At 36.3% G+C, this 18,430-nt stretch overlaps 1 protein-coding gene across 1 annotated transcript in view; it reads left to right on the plus strand.

The window, feature by feature from the left end:
* GFRAL (GDNF family receptor alpha like) overlaps positions 1–14,073 on the plus strand; it is a 75,025-nt gene extending 60,952 nt beyond the window's left edge. Inside the window, exons 7-9 of the mRNA NM_207410.2 lie at positions 10,760–10,855; positions 10,949–11,021; positions 13,370–14,073. Coding sequence (NP_997293.2) covers positions 10,760–10,855; positions 10,949–11,021; positions 13,370–13,433 — 233 coding nt within the window. The 3' untranslated portion in view covers positions 13,434–14,073. The remainder of the gene's footprint in view (positions 1–10,759; positions 10,856–10,948; positions 11,022–13,369) is intronic.
* Positions 14,074–18,430: the final 4,357 nt, after the last annotated feature.

The following is an 18,430-nucleotide window of genomic DNA, read 5'->3' on the forward strand; positions in this document are numbered from 1 at the left end:
CTTGATGTTTTGAGTTTCCAGGCCAGACATGATTCAATCCCTGAATCTCTATTCACTAGCTCTTTCTAGTATAACAGACAGTCTAAAACTTACAATGGTATTTTGTTGAAAGAACATATGGTAGCTATTACATTGAAAATGTACACTAAGCATATGTCTACAACCCTAATAGCTACTTCCAACACTTCTACACAACTGCTTCGACTCAGTCAATTTCTTTCACTGTTCTTTGGCCCAAACTGCCATTCCAGCACCCCTACCCTAAAATGGAAATATTATTCCTTTTAATTGCTTTTGTTATTTTAATACTGCCAGGTAGCTGAAAGGGAACTTTTGAGGTGGTAACATCTCTTACTGATCCAAATATGTTTTTCTTCAGTTGGTAAAACTGGCTTAGCAGTTACCGTCATTATGTCTGGTTCTTCTCTACCAGCTTATTTTTAAAGGAGTTTTCGTAAGAAACATAACTCCCCAACCTCTCCCTCTTCCTGTTCTTCCCCCAGCTCCCCTCACTAATTAAGTATTTCATTTCCACTAGCCCATTATAATGTTGTTTATGATCTGATTTCTCTTTCTCTTTTTCATTTCCAAAATCATGAGTTTTCCCCTTTCTACCAATGGTCTACATCCTGACTGTATAGATATATGCTTTACATGTTTTTGTTTTATTATTTTAAAAATTTTATGTTAAGTTCAGGGGTACATGTGCAGATTTGTTATACAGGTAGACTTATGTCATGGGGGTTTGTTATACAGATTATTTCATCACCCAGGTATTAAGCCTAGTACCCATTAGTTATTTTTCCTGATCCTCTCTCTCCTTTCACCCTCCACTCTTCAAAAGGTCCCAGCCAGCATGTGTTGTTCCCTCTATGTGTCTGACCATATATTGAAAGGGTATAGAAAAGTATTTGAAATTATGAAAGCCTAGTACTTATCTCTACTTTTCCCTTGCCCTATTAAATCAAAACGTACAGCAATAGAACCCAGAAATCTCTCATTGCTCCATAGGTAATACTAATGTGTAACCACTAGCAAAACATAATTTCTTACTTTAAAAAAAATAGCTCCTGTTGTATGTTTACCCTCTGCAAGTTACCTTACATGCCTTGCCTCATTTAATCCTCACAAAAAAACAGTAAATATTATTATCCTAAAATTTTCTAGGATAGAAAACTGGAGCATCAATGAGTCAGAAAAAAGAAGGAAAAACAAAAGTACAAATTTTAGAGCAAGGTCTTCAATCCATGATTGGAAGTCAAAGGCTGACCCCTTTCTACTATGCTACACTACTCCTCACTCCACTCTATTATCTATGTTTACTAGTATTTTTATTTCTAATTCTCATTATGTATTTGTGTGTATATGTAAAGTGACAAATCAGCTGGAAAATCCACATTTACAAAAGGTGCTAATACCTCATATGGTAATGCAGTACTGTAAGATGTTTATGAATAAAAGGAATGTGGCCCTGACTGACGTGGAATAATTTAAATCTCAGTAGAGATAATGATGCTGCATCCCATACTTACTTTTGAGAATATGGTGGACTTTAAAATAACACTGCTGCATAATAAATAAGGAGTGACTGCAATTAATGCATACCTCACTGCCTAAGGTTTCCCAAAAGAGAAGGGAAAGCCTTCCTATTTCCAAGGTGGGAATGTTCTTCAACGCTCTCCTGACCTTTCTCCAGTTTCCTCCTTTCTCACCTTTCTTTAAACCCTTTTCACTTTTTCTTCTCTTTTCACCTGCAAGTCTATTGACAGGTAAGTGAGAGAAGAGAAAAGAAAAAGCTAGTATTTATTAAGCACCTGCAATCTGTCAAAAATTTTCATTAGTGGTATATTATAACCCCCCTGAATTAGCTTTTGCTATGTTATACACTAACATGCAATTGTCAAATTTCAGTGGCATACAAAAACAAAGATTGATTTCTAGGTCATGCCACATGTAGGCAGCTGGGTTCTGCTTCCCATTTCTAGACTCAGGCTGAAGGCACAGTTGCCATTGGGAACATGCCATTTTTATGGAAAAGATAAAAACAAGCAACAAGATCACTCTTAAATATCTGCATGAATATAATATATGTCCTTTCTTTCTTACATTTTTGACAAATGCAAGTCAAAGTGAGCCCAATATCAGTGGAGTAGTAAATATTGACCTCCCATAGAAAGTAGTGCTCTAGGCCAGGCGTGGTGGCTCACACCTGTAATCCCAGCACTTTGGGAGACCAAGGCGGGCGGATCACGAGGTCAGCAGTTTGAGACCAGCCTGACCAACATGGTGAAACCCCGTCTCTACTAAAAATACAAAAATCAGCCAGGCATGGTGGCGAGCGCCTGTAATCCCAGCTACTCAGGAGGCTGAGGCAGGAGAATCACTTGAACCTGGGAGGCAGAGATTGCAGTGAGCCAAGATCGCGCCATTGCACTCCAGCCTCGGCGACAGAGCGAGACTCCATCTCACACACATACACACACACACACACACACACACACACACACACACACAAGTAGTGGTCTAACTCACAGGGCATTGGATGGTGCATGCATATATTTTTACAGCAAAATAGAAGTGAATCTTTATAAAAAAATATAATCTATCGCAATACCCTTTTTATATAGGGGAAACATGAGGCTCAGAGGTTAAATTAACTGTCCAAGAGTAGTGCATCTAGTGGACGACTCATTTAAGATTGTAGTCAAGTTTTTTCTAATTCTACAGCCACTGTTCTTGGATTTGCATAGCCAAGTTGAAGAGAGGGGAGACAGACTTAGTTCTCTCTTCTATTATTTTTTAATCTTTCATTCCAAATATTTTCTAAAACATCACGTCACCTTAAGGATCTAGGAATAATCTTTGATTTAATCCTCTTCATTTTTTCATATTAAATAAAACTCTACATTGTCTAATGCTTAATAATGATACAATTTTTTGAGCACTTAACTTGTGCCAAACACTATTTCAAACTCTCTTCACATACTGTTTTATTTAATTTTGAACCATAAGTTTTGTGGTAGGCATCATATCACTTTAAAGACAAAGGGCTACACATAGTGGCTCATCCATGTAATCCTAGAGCTTTGGGAGGCCAAGGTAAGAGGATTGCTTGAGGCCGGGAGTTTGAGGCCAGCCTGGGCAATAATAGCAAGGCCTTGTCTCTAGAAAAAATAAAAATTAGTAGGGCATGGTGACATGCCCCTGTAGTCCTAGCTACTCAGGAGGCTGAGACAGGAGGATTGCTTGAGCCCAGGAGTTCAAAGTTGCAGTGAAGTATGATTGTGTAACCTGGGCAACAAAGCAAGAACTTATCTCAATAAAAAAGGATAAAAACATTGAGGAAAAAATCTCAATAACTTGCCTAAAATGACTGACTGGGAGTGAAGTAGAGCTGGTTTTTAATCCATATCTGATGTTAACACTTGTGCTTCTATGCTCTGCATCATTCTGCTTTCTAATGAAAATCTCTGTTTTAAATATATCCTACACTTCTCTCTTCTCGTCTCCAGCTTCTATTGCCTATGTTTAGTTTTTATCTTGTTAAGCCTAAATTTCTGCTGTTGCTTTCTAGTTAGATTTCACTCATGAAACCAACCTATATACCAAGACTAGACTAATTCTTAAACTCTGCCTTGATCACTTTTGTGTGCAGAAGACATTCATTGCTCTCCCTTCTTCCTACTTTCATCCTTCCCTCATATAAACTCCTTCATCTGATTTCCAAGGACACCCAGAGTGCAAATTATTCTTATTTCCCACTAGTCCTCAAAGTGTACCATTTACCTGGTTGTCCCTTATTGATTCAACCTTGCTTTATTTACATTTTTCCCCTTACTGGAAACTAGATCAAGAACTTTACGGGAGCAAGGTCATGCATCATTTTATGAATATCTCTCCATATTGATTGTCATTATGCTAGCTTTGAAGTAGGAAGTAATTACTTACATAGGTAACCTTTACTTGGGTCCAAATATGGTGCTTTTCATCACATTGTTATGTGGACATTTACAGGTAACTAGGAATAAATGATCCATGAATTCATTTCTGGTTCTGCTGTAATGGGTCTCCTGAATAGACAGCAGATTCTAAATTCTCCATATCTCATGGGGACATGTTGGGAAATTGAAGAATGCCAGATTAACTGGCAGCAAAAGTGGGATTGATGTTGCATCACATCGCCCTCTCTAAGCAACAATAAGAATAGCACTTGAAAGGTCAGGCATCTTTCAAACCTCAGGGTGAAAAGTTTGCTTGAACACATGGACAAATAGAGGGGAACAACACACTTGGGGGCCTGCTAGAGGGTGGAGGGTGGGAGGAGGGAGAGGATTAAAAAAATAACTAATGGATACTAGGTTTAATACCTGGGCGATAAAATAATTTGCACAACAAACTTCCATGACACAAGTTCACCTATGTAACAAACCTACACATGTACCCTTGAACTTAAAAATTAAACAAAATAGAATAACATAATATAAAATAAATAACTGAAAAAGAAAAAAGGAAAGAAAAATTTGCTTGGCTCCCAGAAAAACATATGAAGAGAAATTGTCGTACATAGCGTTTGCATATACGTGTGTCTAGTAGAGGTAAGGATTATAAATTAGTACTTACATTTATCAACACACAATGTTTTCAGTGTGGTGTTCTCTTGCCTTCCATTGACTAAGCAAAAATAAAGATCCTCAATGAACATCTTATGCCTGCACACATTTTATAAATCCTTGCCATTTAATCACATATATCCATGTTTTCCAATTTGTTTTCCTGGATTCTAAAATATATCCCCTGGAGAAAGTAAATTTAGGTAATGTATGCCACTATATTATGTCAAAAAAACTGAAAATTACTTGCAACTAAAATGCATATATTACATCTAACCCAAAATTTTCTAAAGTCATTTACTTATGGGATCTTTTGTTTGCCTAACCCATAAAAGTATTCTGTAGAACCAGTGTTTTATGGAACATAATTCTAAAAACTCTGCCTCTTCTAAAAAAGACGTTGAATTTACTGTGTCCCCTTGAAAATAGAGAATGACAGATGGTTCTACTTGAGTAAAATGGCCTGAGAAAATCTTTCCCAGAAGGTGGTCTTTAGGCAGACACCTGAAGAAAGAGAAGGAGTCTGTTCTAGGAAGAGGCAATAGCAAGGGTTGAGTGCTCCAGCAGTAAAGAAAATGTTTAATGTGTTTGGCAAACTAAAAGGAAGTAAGAGAAAGAGGAAGGAAGGAAAAGAGGCAAGGGGGGAGGAAAGAAGCCTCTTGGTGGCTGGAATGAAATGGGCAAAGACGAGATTTAATATACCAAAGAGATTGCTAGAGTTTAGATCATGTGGGACTTCCTAGACATGATAGAGGCTTTAGGATTTCATTTAAGTTCAGTGAGAGGCTATTTAAAGATTTGAAGTAGGGGAAATTAATGATTTCATTTGGATGTTTAATAGATAATCCTGATTGCTTTCCTTGTAGTCAGGCAGAAGTGAAAACAGGAAAAAAGTTGAGATTACTGGGGGTATTTATTGAAGCACCTATGCTGGAATATGATGATCACTTTAGCTAGTTCAGTGCAGTTTGCAATGAGGAAGAATAAAGATACCTATTTATGTAAAATCAACAAGACAAACTGGCTAATGGGATATACGATTGAAAGAAGGGAAAAAATCTAGGATAATTTCCAGATTACCTGAATAATATAGATGGGCCATTTCATTTACTGAGATGAGAAACACAGTGAGAGAAGTAAGTATAGTAAGAGGAAACCTACATTTAGTTTAGAACTTGTTAAATATGAGATGGTTATAAGATATGCAAGCAAAAATATCAAGAAGGTAGCTTGAAATGAATCTGTAGTTTACTTAAAATCATTGGAAAACTGAGATCACTCAGTAAGATTATTAGGTTTCTTCTTACTTAAGGGGAGGGGCAGGACTGAATCTTATTAAAGGGAAGGGCCAGGACTGAACTCCAGCCTTTAGAAGTTGAAGACAGCAGAAGAAGCCAGTGAAGAAGAATATTTGAAATGACCAAGTAGGCCTTAGCTGATCTTGAAATAATAATTTCAGTGGACTAGTGAAGCAAAAACCTGTTTGGAAATGTAAAGTGAAATGGGTTGAGGATCAGAGACAATTATCAAGACAACTATTTCAAGACATTTGGCTATTGAAGGATAGTCAGAAAAGGTGGAAGGTAGTTGTCATATTGACAGTTTAATGCAGTAGTGTGGGATCTTTTCAAGATGGCTTGAAAATGTACTAATGAGAAAGGAGGGAGAACTAGAGGTAACAAAATGGTTCCTGAGTCGTCAGCTTTTAAGTGGTCTTTGGGTAATGACTGCAAAGACATCAAATCTGGTGTATTTTCACACCACATTCAACAATACTGAAAAATTACACGTGGATCACTTTTTAAAAAATCTCCACTGTCTATTAATAGTAAATGCTCACTAAATACTTTTTGAGGAAAGATAGGAATGAGAGAAGGAGGAGAAGGAGGAGAGAAAGAAAAATGAGAAAAGGAGCCAAAAAGAAATCCCATATTTTATCCTTGTTTTCCCTTCTACTCTCACTACAATTGTGCATTCTTTCTGATGGAGGTTCCCCATTTCATAACTCAGTAACATATAAAACTTTCTGGATTGTCTCATCATTCGAAATGACTGTGAACACTCTCCAAAAGAGTGTTCTCTTTCTTTTATTTTTTCCTAACTCTCCCCTGTTGTTTTCAATCAGCCTATGGAAAAAAAAAAAAAATATATATATATATATATAAGCCAGCTAGGTAAAATTTTACACATTTTCCAAAGGGTAGCCATAAGTGAGTTATTCAATGTCAAATGAAGACATCAAAACCTGTCTGGACAATCAGTGGTAATGTCATTTATATATTTTTTCATTGAAAGTATTCCATACACTGAAACCTCCACATATGAAATATAAAGTCTTGAAATTTATAAATTATAGTACAAACTATTTTCATTATCTTTCATTTGTCTTATTTATTACAAACTTGCCTAGTGCTTGTGTAATATAATTCAAGGTAAAAATTACTGTTCAATTTTGTGAACTTATTTTTTTCCCATGAAACTCATTCTAGATACAGGCATTTTTTCCCCCAAACTGACTCTTCTAAATGTTGCTTTAATTAAAATGAAATGAAGGTTTATAAATTTGCAGTTTGTGATATGTTAAATCCCTGTTTCAAATTATATCTCAAGTATTCTGACATTTATTTCTAAATCATTACTTTGTCTCTGATCAACCATAACTTTTACAATGCATTTACTGTTTCATGTGAATTATATAAGCAGAGTTTCAGTCCCCATGAACTCTCAACTACTGTTGCACAAGGATTTTGGAAAAAAAAAAAAAAGAAAAAAGAAACAGTAATGCTCACCTCTCCATAGCTCATTTGGGGAGAATATTACCTAAATTTGTTCCTAATGCAAGATTGAAATTAATCTTGATTTCCCATCAAATGTACAAGGATTTTACAATATAGTTCATAATCGTGTTTAATTTCTCCAGGGTACAAGTTAAGATAAACAAGTCACTGACAGTGTTTATCTATAAATAGAGCAGATGGTCTGGGGCTGAGGTTAGTTATCAACTTTTCTGACTTTAATTTCATGGTTATAAAACGCTGTAAACCTCACTGTTTATAAAAGGCAGGGAAGGAACTCCAGTGGGCTTCAGTAGCCAAGAAACCCTCAGTAACATTAATCTTTCTAACTGATATTCGGTATCCTCCTAGGGTGCAATATTTAAGATTGTGGAGTGATTGCTAGACAAATTTAAATTTTCACTGGGATAATTAGCTAACATTTCTGTCACTGATCTATTATAACGTTGTTAATGAGTTCCATGTGAGAGAAATTTAGTAAATGAGATGATTCTTTCTAAACTCTGCTAGGTGAGTGTTTAACAATTAAGGCAGTTACATATCTAAAAAAAGCCTTTTTTCTTTCAAAATAATACTTTTTTCTTCTGCAAAGATGAACTGTAATACCCAACTAGACTAAATGTACTTAGGGATAGAATTTCATAAGGAAAAACCATAGCATCATTTAAATAATTAATAATCATCTAATGTATATTGTATATACTTAGGCCATGAATCCAGCTACAGCTTTTTTTTAAAAAAGGCCATAGAACTTAAAAAGAAGTAAAACTATTGATTCTTCATATTCTGAATTGATTTAAATACACAATTTTATTGTGATCATTTATTTTGCTAAAGGTCTGTATGATCAATGTGATTAAAATTAATTTTTTTCAAGGACCCCTTATTAAAAAAAAGTATTATTTAAAATTTCTCATTTTTCCCCTTGCAACTTTATAGTGAATATAAAAGTAATTTTACAATCACAAAAGTAAAAAATAATTCACAAGTTCTACCTCTATTACTTTTACATTCTTAAGTGGTTTATTTTGCATTCTAACAAGGGGGAAGCTTTTTTTTTTTTTTTTTCTGGAGTCAGAGTCTTGGTGTTTTCACCCAGGCTGGAGTGTAGTGGCTTGATCACAGCTACGTCAATCTGGAATGCCTGGGCTCAAGTGATCCTCACACCTCAGCCTCCAGAGAAGTTTGGACTACAGGTGTGCACCACCATGCCCAGCTAATCTTTAAACTTTTTAGAGATGGGGTCTTGCTATGTTGGCCAGGCTGGCTTCAAACTCCTGGGCTCAAGTGATCTTCCCAACTTAGCCTTCCAAAGTGCTGGTTTTACAGGCATCAGCCACATTGGAGGTTTCTTAAATAGATGGTAATCCAATATGCAAATTGGAGACTAAAACTATTTTAAAAAAATGCCGGCCGGGCGCGGTGGCTCACGCCTGTAATCCCAGCACTTTGGGAGGCCGAGGCGGGTGGATCATGAGGTCAGGAGATCGAGACCATCCTGGCTAACAAGGTGAAACCCCGTCTCTACTAAAAATACAAAAAATTAGCCGGGCGCAGTGGCGGGCGCCTGTAGTCCCAGCTACTCGGGAGGCTGAGGCAGGAGAATGGCGTGAACCCGGGAAGCGGAGCTTGCAGTGAGCCGAGATTGCGCCACTGCAGTCCGCAGTCCGGCCTGGGCGACAGAGCGAGACTCCGTCTCAAAAAAAAAAAAAAAAAAAAAAAAAATGCCTTAACTGTATTTGAGTTCAGACTCCCTGAGAATGAGTTTTCTAATGACAAAATCCTCACTTTTCTAGTCTTGTGTTGGGCTGCTGCTTTCTGACCCACTCTGGGAGGTTTACTACTGGTCTGAAACTCCAATCTATCTCTCTACTGATTATTGTTAACACAGTGCTCAAATCTTGGCTCCCAATAAGCTGTCTTCTGAATAGCAGCAGCCCTAGGTGGAGAGATAACTGAATGGAACATTTGCTAATAAAGTCATGTACCTCGTAAGGACATTCTGGTCAATGACAGACAGACAGACTATACATCAGTGGTCCCATAAGATTATAATACCGTATTTTTTATAGTATCTTTTCTATGTTTATATGCTTAAATATGCAAATATTTACCATTGCATTAAAGTTGCCTAAAGTATTTAGTACAATAGCACACACTGTGCATGTTTGTAACCTAAAAACAAAGGCTATATTATATAGCCTAGGCATGTGGTAGGCTATACCACCCAGGTTGGTGTAAGTACACTCTATGATGTTCACACAAGCACAAAATCGACTAAGCATGCATTTTTCAGTGCATATCCCCATCATTAAGCAATGCATGACTGTAGATTTTCTTATCTCCCTTCCTGCTCAGAGTCTGTTGTCACTAGTTTTCATCGGATGTAATATCCCACTGTTTGATACATTCATTTTTGTAAACAACTGTCTACTCATAGTTAGTGTCAGGTCTCAAAAATGCAGGAAGCATCTATAACAGAAGACCGCAACCTCTCTAAAATGGGAGCTTTATCTCATTTTTCTTACTGCCTCAAAACCAGCTTTCATTACATAAATTGGTTACTAAACTATTGGTATGTTTGACATTCATATTTGTGTACAATTACTCAAAACTCGGAGTGATTTCACTTTAAAGTTATTGATAAAAATCACCTAAAAGAGATCTATCAGTTAATTGTAACAATTGCATCTTTCTGTTGTTAAAGTAGAAAAGCCAGAGAAAAGATTGTCCTCACAGGGAAAGATTTGTTTTTATGAACTGGTCACTCTAAAGCATGATTTCTAAAATTGTGAGCTATTGGAAACTGGTGGGAATGTATTTCTCAGAAACATGGCCAAGAAGACTAGCACCTCAGAATGGCCAGGAATAGCTCTGAAGGGAGGCAAAAATAGGTAACAGGAGAAACTGAAGTTTTAGCTAATAGAGAGAAAAAGAGAACAAGGGAAAAAAGCAAAACTAGGTATTCCAGTATCTGAGTGCAGAGGTACATTAAAATAATCACTTTTGTAAAGAAAGGATCTTTTTCAATATCCCAAAGATGGCCTAAAGTAACCATCTTTTATTTTTCTTGTCTGTATATAAGATACAATGATTTATGTTATAAAATATAATCATTGTACTAATCTTGGTTTGCAAAAAATAAAAGCTTATACACGGAAATTACCTGATTAAAAGGGGAAAAACAGGCTGTTAAAATTTAAGAAAATTGTTCCTAGTTTTATTCAAATCTATCAGATTAAAATAATGTAATGGAAATAAATTGCTGCCTTAAAAGATAAAGCAAATTGTAATCCATAAAATTAAAATAATGTATGATATGTAACTAATCTCATTTTTATGATTTTCTTTCAGATTATCCAACCCTGTCTAATGTCAAAGGCATGGCATTGTATACAAGAAAACATGCAAACAAAATCACTTTAACTGGATTTCATTCCCCCTTCAATGGTCAGTTAAAAATCAATCCTCTATAATATTTATATTATTTATTTCCTCTAAAAATCCAGTGACTATTATTTCTTAATCTTTTTCTTTTTCTAGGAGAAGTAATCTATGCTGCCATGTGCATGACAGTCACCTGTGGAATCCTTCTGTTGGTTATGGTCAAGCTTAGGTAACTGAATATAAATTAGAAGGAAAGGTCTGAAAGGGAGTCACTTAGCTGTGTTAAAGCATGTTGCACAATGGCTGAGCTTACAAAGAGCCTGAGAATGAAAGCTTCTCTGTTAAGACATATTAAATCAAGTTTTATGTGGCATAGGTCCATGGAAACGTTACTTTCAGTCTTCCTACATAAGGAAAATGTGATCATAGGAGATTTTTTATGTTGCATTTCATAAGCACATATGCATTGTATGTTCCTTCCAATTAAACTCTTATCCATCTTTCCCCTTGGCTTCCCTACCAAATCCAAATTGAACTTTGCTGCATTTGTTATTCAAATCATTTGCATGATTGATAGGCTCACATAACTGACCTATTGTTTACTGCATACAGTTTGTATTTACCTGAAGATGTATTCTTCACTCTAATATCTTATATGCTAATACATTTTATTCATTTTTAATAGGCAATTATTGAAAAAGACATTTCATAAAGCCTCACAGAGTGCCCCTAGAAAGACATTACCATTGCCTGACATTAATTTATTCTCCAAATCTTGGCTGCTTTTATTGCTGGAATGTAGTAATGCTCCAGCAGGCATGTGAGACATTGAGATGAGATATACATCAACCTCTAGATTTCTAAACGTCTAGTGTTTAAAATTTTTCCACTTATTTAGCATTTACAACTATACATAAAATAGTGTAGACTTGCCTTTAATTAAAAAAAACTCACATTTAAACATCAATCATGTTCATTTGCTTATTCTTTACACATATGGGTACATGTCTATAAAATTTGAGTAGCATAAATGTTAATGAAGAAATATACATAAGTGTGTATACAGCCATATATACATGTAAGTACATACACAAATTATATCAGTAAGATTGGGCCTTCAGAGGAACAGAAGTATTCACTGGAGATTTACCTTATGACATCTGACACCTAGAAAGATTAATTCAGTCAACTCTACAATACATATAAACATATCTTGCTCCTCCAGAGATCTCAGACTTAAAAAGGCCTTGACAATTAGGCAAATAAAAGACTGGCATGAGAAGGTGTACGGTGATACCAAGGGGTCAGGTACATACGGACATCCTAATTTATTTATTTTTAAATGCAATGCCAGCTAAACAAAATGTATCCACTGTTTGGACCCAATCCCTCTAAGCATTTAATTTGTTGTTAACTAAAATCAGTACCAAAACACACTGCTTTTCTCCAAGGCCTTAAAAGTTACATTTGTATGAGAAGACATTCCGTGGGTTCTAAGATATGGGTTGAAAGCCAAATAATTAGAGTCCATTGCTAAGAGGGAAAAATAGCATTTGGAATTTATTAAAGTTTACTTTATTTGGTTTTAAGTACTTGAGAACACTGTTTAGTTATTGTTCCTGCCTAGATATTCCATGACAAACATTGTTACAACAAAATATGGACAGTTTTCTGGCCCGGCAAAAACATCTTACTTTAATGGTTCTCAATCTTTACTTCTTAACTACATACAGAATGTATAAAATTTACACCTGTTCCATGATCCCACTGGTTTTTAGATACTACTGTTTTGCTACAGATACAAGATATAGACTACTCATAATTCCCTATGTATTTGCTGTAACTTCGTCTTTTTTCTCACCTGCATAGAAGGCATATCCCTTTTTTGGATGGCAGTGGGGGCATTATTATTATGGACAAATGTTTTGAATTTATTCTAATGTGTATTTTAAAGCAAATTATTCATACTATTAAATATATTTGTATTTAGTTACAAATTATTTTCATATAATTTAAAATTTATCATAATGTGTAATCGGAAAACTCCAGGCCCAGGATAAAAGAGACAAAATTTAAAGCCATCATAAAAAGAACAAACTGAAACAAAAGCATCATTGGCAACAAAACCTGTGTTGCCCCACACCTGGAGATAAATAATGCTCCCTAAAGAAAGAAGAATGATTGCTATTTCAGACATTGTTCACTCACCTGATGGTCAAGCCCAACCCATGTGAATACCTGTCTTCTGTAAGGAATAAGATAGTTGCATTTGTTTCATGTTATGCTATATTCAAATAGCCCAGAGCCTTCAAAGAAGTTTGCAGAGAAACAACTAAAAATTTAAATATTTACAAAAAGAAAGGACTTTTTAAAAAATGATTACTTGGACATCATAGTTAAAGGTGTGATGCTCCCTAGAAAGAAAATATGATATTTTACTATTGGGACTTTACATTCTGGAACTTGATTAGTTTTTTCCTCCAGGTGCAGACTCCAGCAAAAATGCAAACACACACAAGCACATTTGTGAAATCCTTAAAATGGCATGTTGTTAACTTTTACTTTTATTTTATACAGAACTTCCAGAATATCAAGTAAAGCAAGAGATCCTTCATCGATCCAAATACCTGGAGAACTCTGATTCATTAGGAGTCATGGACCTATAACAATCACTCTTTTCTCTGCTTTTCTTCTTTCCTCTTTTCTTCTCTCCTCTCCTCTCCTCTCTTCTCCTCTCCTCCCCTCCCCTCTCTGTTTCTTTTTCTTTTTCTTTTCTTTTTTGTGGCGGAGTTTTGCTCTTGTTGCCCAGGCTGCAGTACAATGGCTCAATCTCGGTTCACTGCAACCTCTGCCTCCAAGGTTCAAGTGATTTTCCTGCCTCAGCCTTCCCGAGTAGCTGGGATTACAGGTACCCGCCACCACGCCCAGCTAATTTTTTTGTATTTTTAGTAGAGATGGGGTTTTGCCAAATTGGCCAGGGTGGTCTCAAACTCCTGACCTCAGGTGATCCACCCACCTCGGCCTCCCAAAGTGCTGGGATTACAGGCGTGAGCAACCACGTCAAGACAACAATCACTTTCTTTAAAGCAAATCCTACAGCTGGTCAACACCCTATTCCATCTGTCATCGAGAAAGAAAATGTTAAAATAGACTTAAAAATATTGCTTTGTTACATATAATAATATGGCATGATGATGTTATTTTTTTCTTAATACTCAAGAAAAAATATATGGTGGTATCTTTTACAACACTGGAACAGAAATAAAGTTTCCCTTGAAGGCAAAAAGTGTTATCCCAAGTCACATTTTGCATAATTTGCTTTATGATGAATATAAACACATATCATATTAATTATTTGCATCATAATATGACATAGTTAGCAGTTTTTCTGATCAATTACATAAGTTCCCATTAACTTGCCAAAAAAAGTTAATATATATATCCAGTGTCTGTGTTATTGGTATATTTTCGACCATTTTGAAATCAGTCATTAACGTATTAGCATTGACTTTAAGTTCCTATATATATTTGATTAAATGAAAGCCTTAAAAAATTGGAAGTGACATGTTTGAATTTTGTAATTTGAATACTATTGAATTTTACTTTTTGACCTTGATATCTCATTTTATTCCCATAAAATGTAAAACAACTACACTGGCTGAAAGAAAGTCAATGTGCGCTTCAATAATCATAGATTTTTGTGAATTAAATCTTTCTAGGCTAATTATGAGGAACTTCTGCAATAATAAAGTAACACCATAATTGTTACTTTTTATAATATTCCTATACTGTGACTTTTGGCCTGGTTTGACATCAGAGTATAATTGTGATTAGAAAATTGTAGAAAATATGTTCATTAGTTAGAATTTTAATACATATTTGCTTTTCAACCGCCTGCAATTACACTAGTACCTATTACTCATAATAACCATGAGGTTGTATTATCTATAGTGGCACAGAGGCACAAATATTCAATAACCTGAGGATATCATACTAACCGTGGCATATTTACAATTAAAATTCAAATATTTTCTGCTCATTTGGTCTCATTTCTATTGCTATTCACTACACTTCAGATTAAACTGTCTACATTAAATTAAATTTGGAGTTAACATTTGGCTATGTTTACTCAAAGTAATTGAGAAGCCATCGTTTATCTTTTAAAACAGAGAAGAATAAATTGATGAGTCACAGATGTTTCTCAAGGAGTTCTATATATTCCAGTGGCTAATGCAGAGTATTAACATGAAGAGAATGCAGGGATTTCCTTCTCCAAATCACTGCCATTTAATTTAGGCTTGGTAATGTCTGGGAAAATGCAAACTGTTCTCTGGAAAACTGAGAAAAGAAGTCAAGTTCCTTCTAGAAACATGCTTGTGTTGAGCAGAGAAGGGGAGAACAGAGTGTAAAATGGATGGCTTCCCTAGGAAACAGAATCTTGTCTCTTAGGACAGCAGGAATAAGTAGGCAAAACCACAGAAGGGGGAATCAGCATGAAGCATTTAGGGAACACTAAATAGTCACCTATCTCTAGAGCAGAGAGTCCAAATTGAGAAAGTGTAGGACATACAGCTAGTAAACATCAGGACTAAGACACTGAGATACCAGGCTAAGGAGACACCTATAAAAGTGGAGTGTGGGCCTCATAGGACATGGTCCCCATATTCGTTGTCTTCTTTTACTCTTCAGTCCTCTGGGAAGCCTTTCCTAACATTTTCTTCCCTGTAGTTCAAAGATTCTTGTTCAGTGCTTCCCAGCACCCGGTGATCCCCCATCTTAGACTATTACACTTCACTGCCGCAGCTTCGTTTATTATTTTTGCTTAGTAAATTGTAAGCACCCTGATTGAGTCTGTTGGCTCATCTTTGTTTTCTATTCCTTAGCACATAGTGTATGCTCAATAAATAAGTGTTCAGTGACAGAATTGCTTCATTTGGAATCCTACAAAGTGCTGCAAAATAATTTTAAGCAGATTTTTGAATAAAAAAAGTTATGCTAGCAGACATAGAAATGGACTATAAAGGACTAAAACTGATGCTGAAGAGACTGCTTTAAAGTGTAACTAAATTAGTTAGCTAATAAGTATTGGAAGCCTGCACTAATTTATTCATTCAATACTTATTTATCAAGCATATACTATGTATCAGCCACTGTACTAGGAACTGGAGATACAATCCTGAGCACAGTCTTCCAGTAAATTTGAAAAACAAAGTAAACAAGGTAATTTTTGAAAGTGATAGATGCCATAAAGAAGTGAACAGGCTGCAGTGATGGTAGAGTGATGTGAAGAGAAAAATTAGCAGTGATGTGAGAGAATGGAAGGCACTTCACAAATCTCACAATTTAGAATCAATGGAAACTTGGGGTCAGATATTTGTATGAGTTGAGATTGTAAGGATCATGGTAAGAATGAGTGTTGAGTATATTTTGATTTGTGCCATTAGGTAAACCGTGTTGCCAATTAGAAAACTGGCTCATACAAGTGGAACTTGGAATGGGAAAGGGGAATATGCTAGTTATTTTAGGGTCTGTTCCAATTTTCCTCCACCTCTCATACACCCCTAGGAGGCTGACATATATGCAACATAGTCCCCTTTGTCCTCTGGCTTCCATTTGGTTGTCGATAGTGAGAAATGGTAGAAAATGGGGGAGAAATTCTCCTGGACTCCTTGCTGAGATGTCCCCACAGGCTGGCTGTTTCCTTCAATTGTTTCTATCAGTGTGGCCTTTTCTACACACATCTTTCCTGGATGGCAATAAACCTTTCCAGGCCTTCTCCCTGCAGGCTTAGTGGTGTTAACAGCTCAGTCAGTGCCATTCCTGAGTTACTGGACTATGCCTTGAGGTTTTTCAACTACCTACACCTGTATAAAGAGTACCTAAATCAAGCATTCTTAAGAGTCATCCAATTTCAGATAACTTGCAGTTTATTCTAATTGGAGTATCCCATCTGCTTCCTGTTGGTTCCCTGACTGACACTGGTAAATATTTCAAGTTTAGATCAATTGACTTCCTAACACCAGTGACATATCCATGTGGAGTCACCTAATAGTCAACTGGAAAATATGATTTTGGCACTGGTAAGTGGGATCAAGCTAGAACAATTAAATTTCAAGATGTCCAATATCTTCCTTACATCTCTCTCACCCCAGATGAGAAAGCAAATTTACCCTTGTGATTTCTAGGGGGAAAAATGCTGTAGGATAGGATAGCCAGATCACCAGGTGGCACAGATCACAGACCTCCCCGCAGAATAATTTGACCACTGATTAAATTCCCTCCAGAGTAGTCTCTTTCCTAATAAGTTTTTGTACCCCTAGCTGCTTCTGCATATTTACCCACAGCCTCTTTTCCTTCACAGAATCCTTTCCATAAAACCCACAGGTGTTCCTGGGACCCGGGAGTCAGCCGAGCTGTACAAGCTGGAACTCTGCAAGGTGAGTCAGAAAGGTCTCTCTGGAAAGGGCTTTAGGGCAGTAGGAAAACAGGGACTTTGTGGTTACTCCAAAGCTGAGGCTTGCGTCTGTTCCTACTTTTGAATTCCCTGTGAGAGTCCTGAGAAACAGATCTTGGGGTTATTAAAACATGCATCCTTTTTCATTGCCATGTACAGTGAAATGAATACAAATGACTTGAGTGAATAGAATATTTTTTTATTTTTTAGAATAAAAATATTCTAAATTTTTCAAATTGTGAGCTCAACAAATGCAGGAGTCAAATCTGAGTGACTAATGGTCAAACGATGGCACCACCGCTTTAAAGGCAGTGCCGGGTTGGCATGTACCCTGTATGAACCAACAGTGCAATTTTTACATATCCCTGTCTGCTTGCTCTGTTCTTTCACAACGTGTTCCCCCTCAGAACTCTGAGATGAATACCATCTGGGCTGCAATGATTTACTGCACTGGAGTTTCTCAAGTTGTTCCCAAAGTGCCTCTTTGAGGCTTCAATGTCTATTCAGACCACACTGATTGCACCCCAAAACTTAGGGTAGTAGAATTGGTGTTTCCAAAACCTTAGACAAGTCAATTGCAATAAATGTATCTTTAATAAGGGTTTCCATAATACAGTTGTTTATAATCTTGGTTCTACTAAGAAGGAAACATGCCTTTAAAACACAGTGGTTTAAAATTAAATTTTGGCAATATTGTCAGATTCAAATATTTATTTAGGGTGGCAAACAGTCAAACAAAATTACATTAAAATATTTTTGAGATTTCACTTGATTTTTCTAATGTAAGTTACATTGCTGGTTTTGCAGAAGTTACATGACTGGTTTTGCAGAAGGTCATTATATTTTTATAATGGTCAGTATAATTAAATGCTTAGTGAATGCTTAATTCCATGTGTTACATTCTTTTTTTTTTTTTTTGAGACGGAGTCTTGCTCTGTTGCCCAGGCTGGAGTGCAGTGGTGCAATCTTGGCTCACTGCAACCTCCGCCTCCCGGGTTCAAGCGATTCTCCTGCCTCAGCCTCCTGAGTAGCTGGGATTACTTACAGGTGCCCGCCACCACGCCTGGCTAATTTTTGTATTTTTAGTAGAGATGGGGTTTCACCATATTGGCCAGGCTGGTCTCGAACTCCTGACCTCATGATCCACCCACCTCGGCCTCCCAAAGTCCTAGGATTACAAGCTT

Source organism: Homo sapiens, chromosome 6 (assembly GCF_000001405.40).
Source record: "Homo sapiens chromosome 6, GRCh38.p14 Primary Assembly".
NCBI lineage: Eukaryota > Metazoa > Chordata > Mammalia > Primates > Hominidae > Homo > Homo sapiens.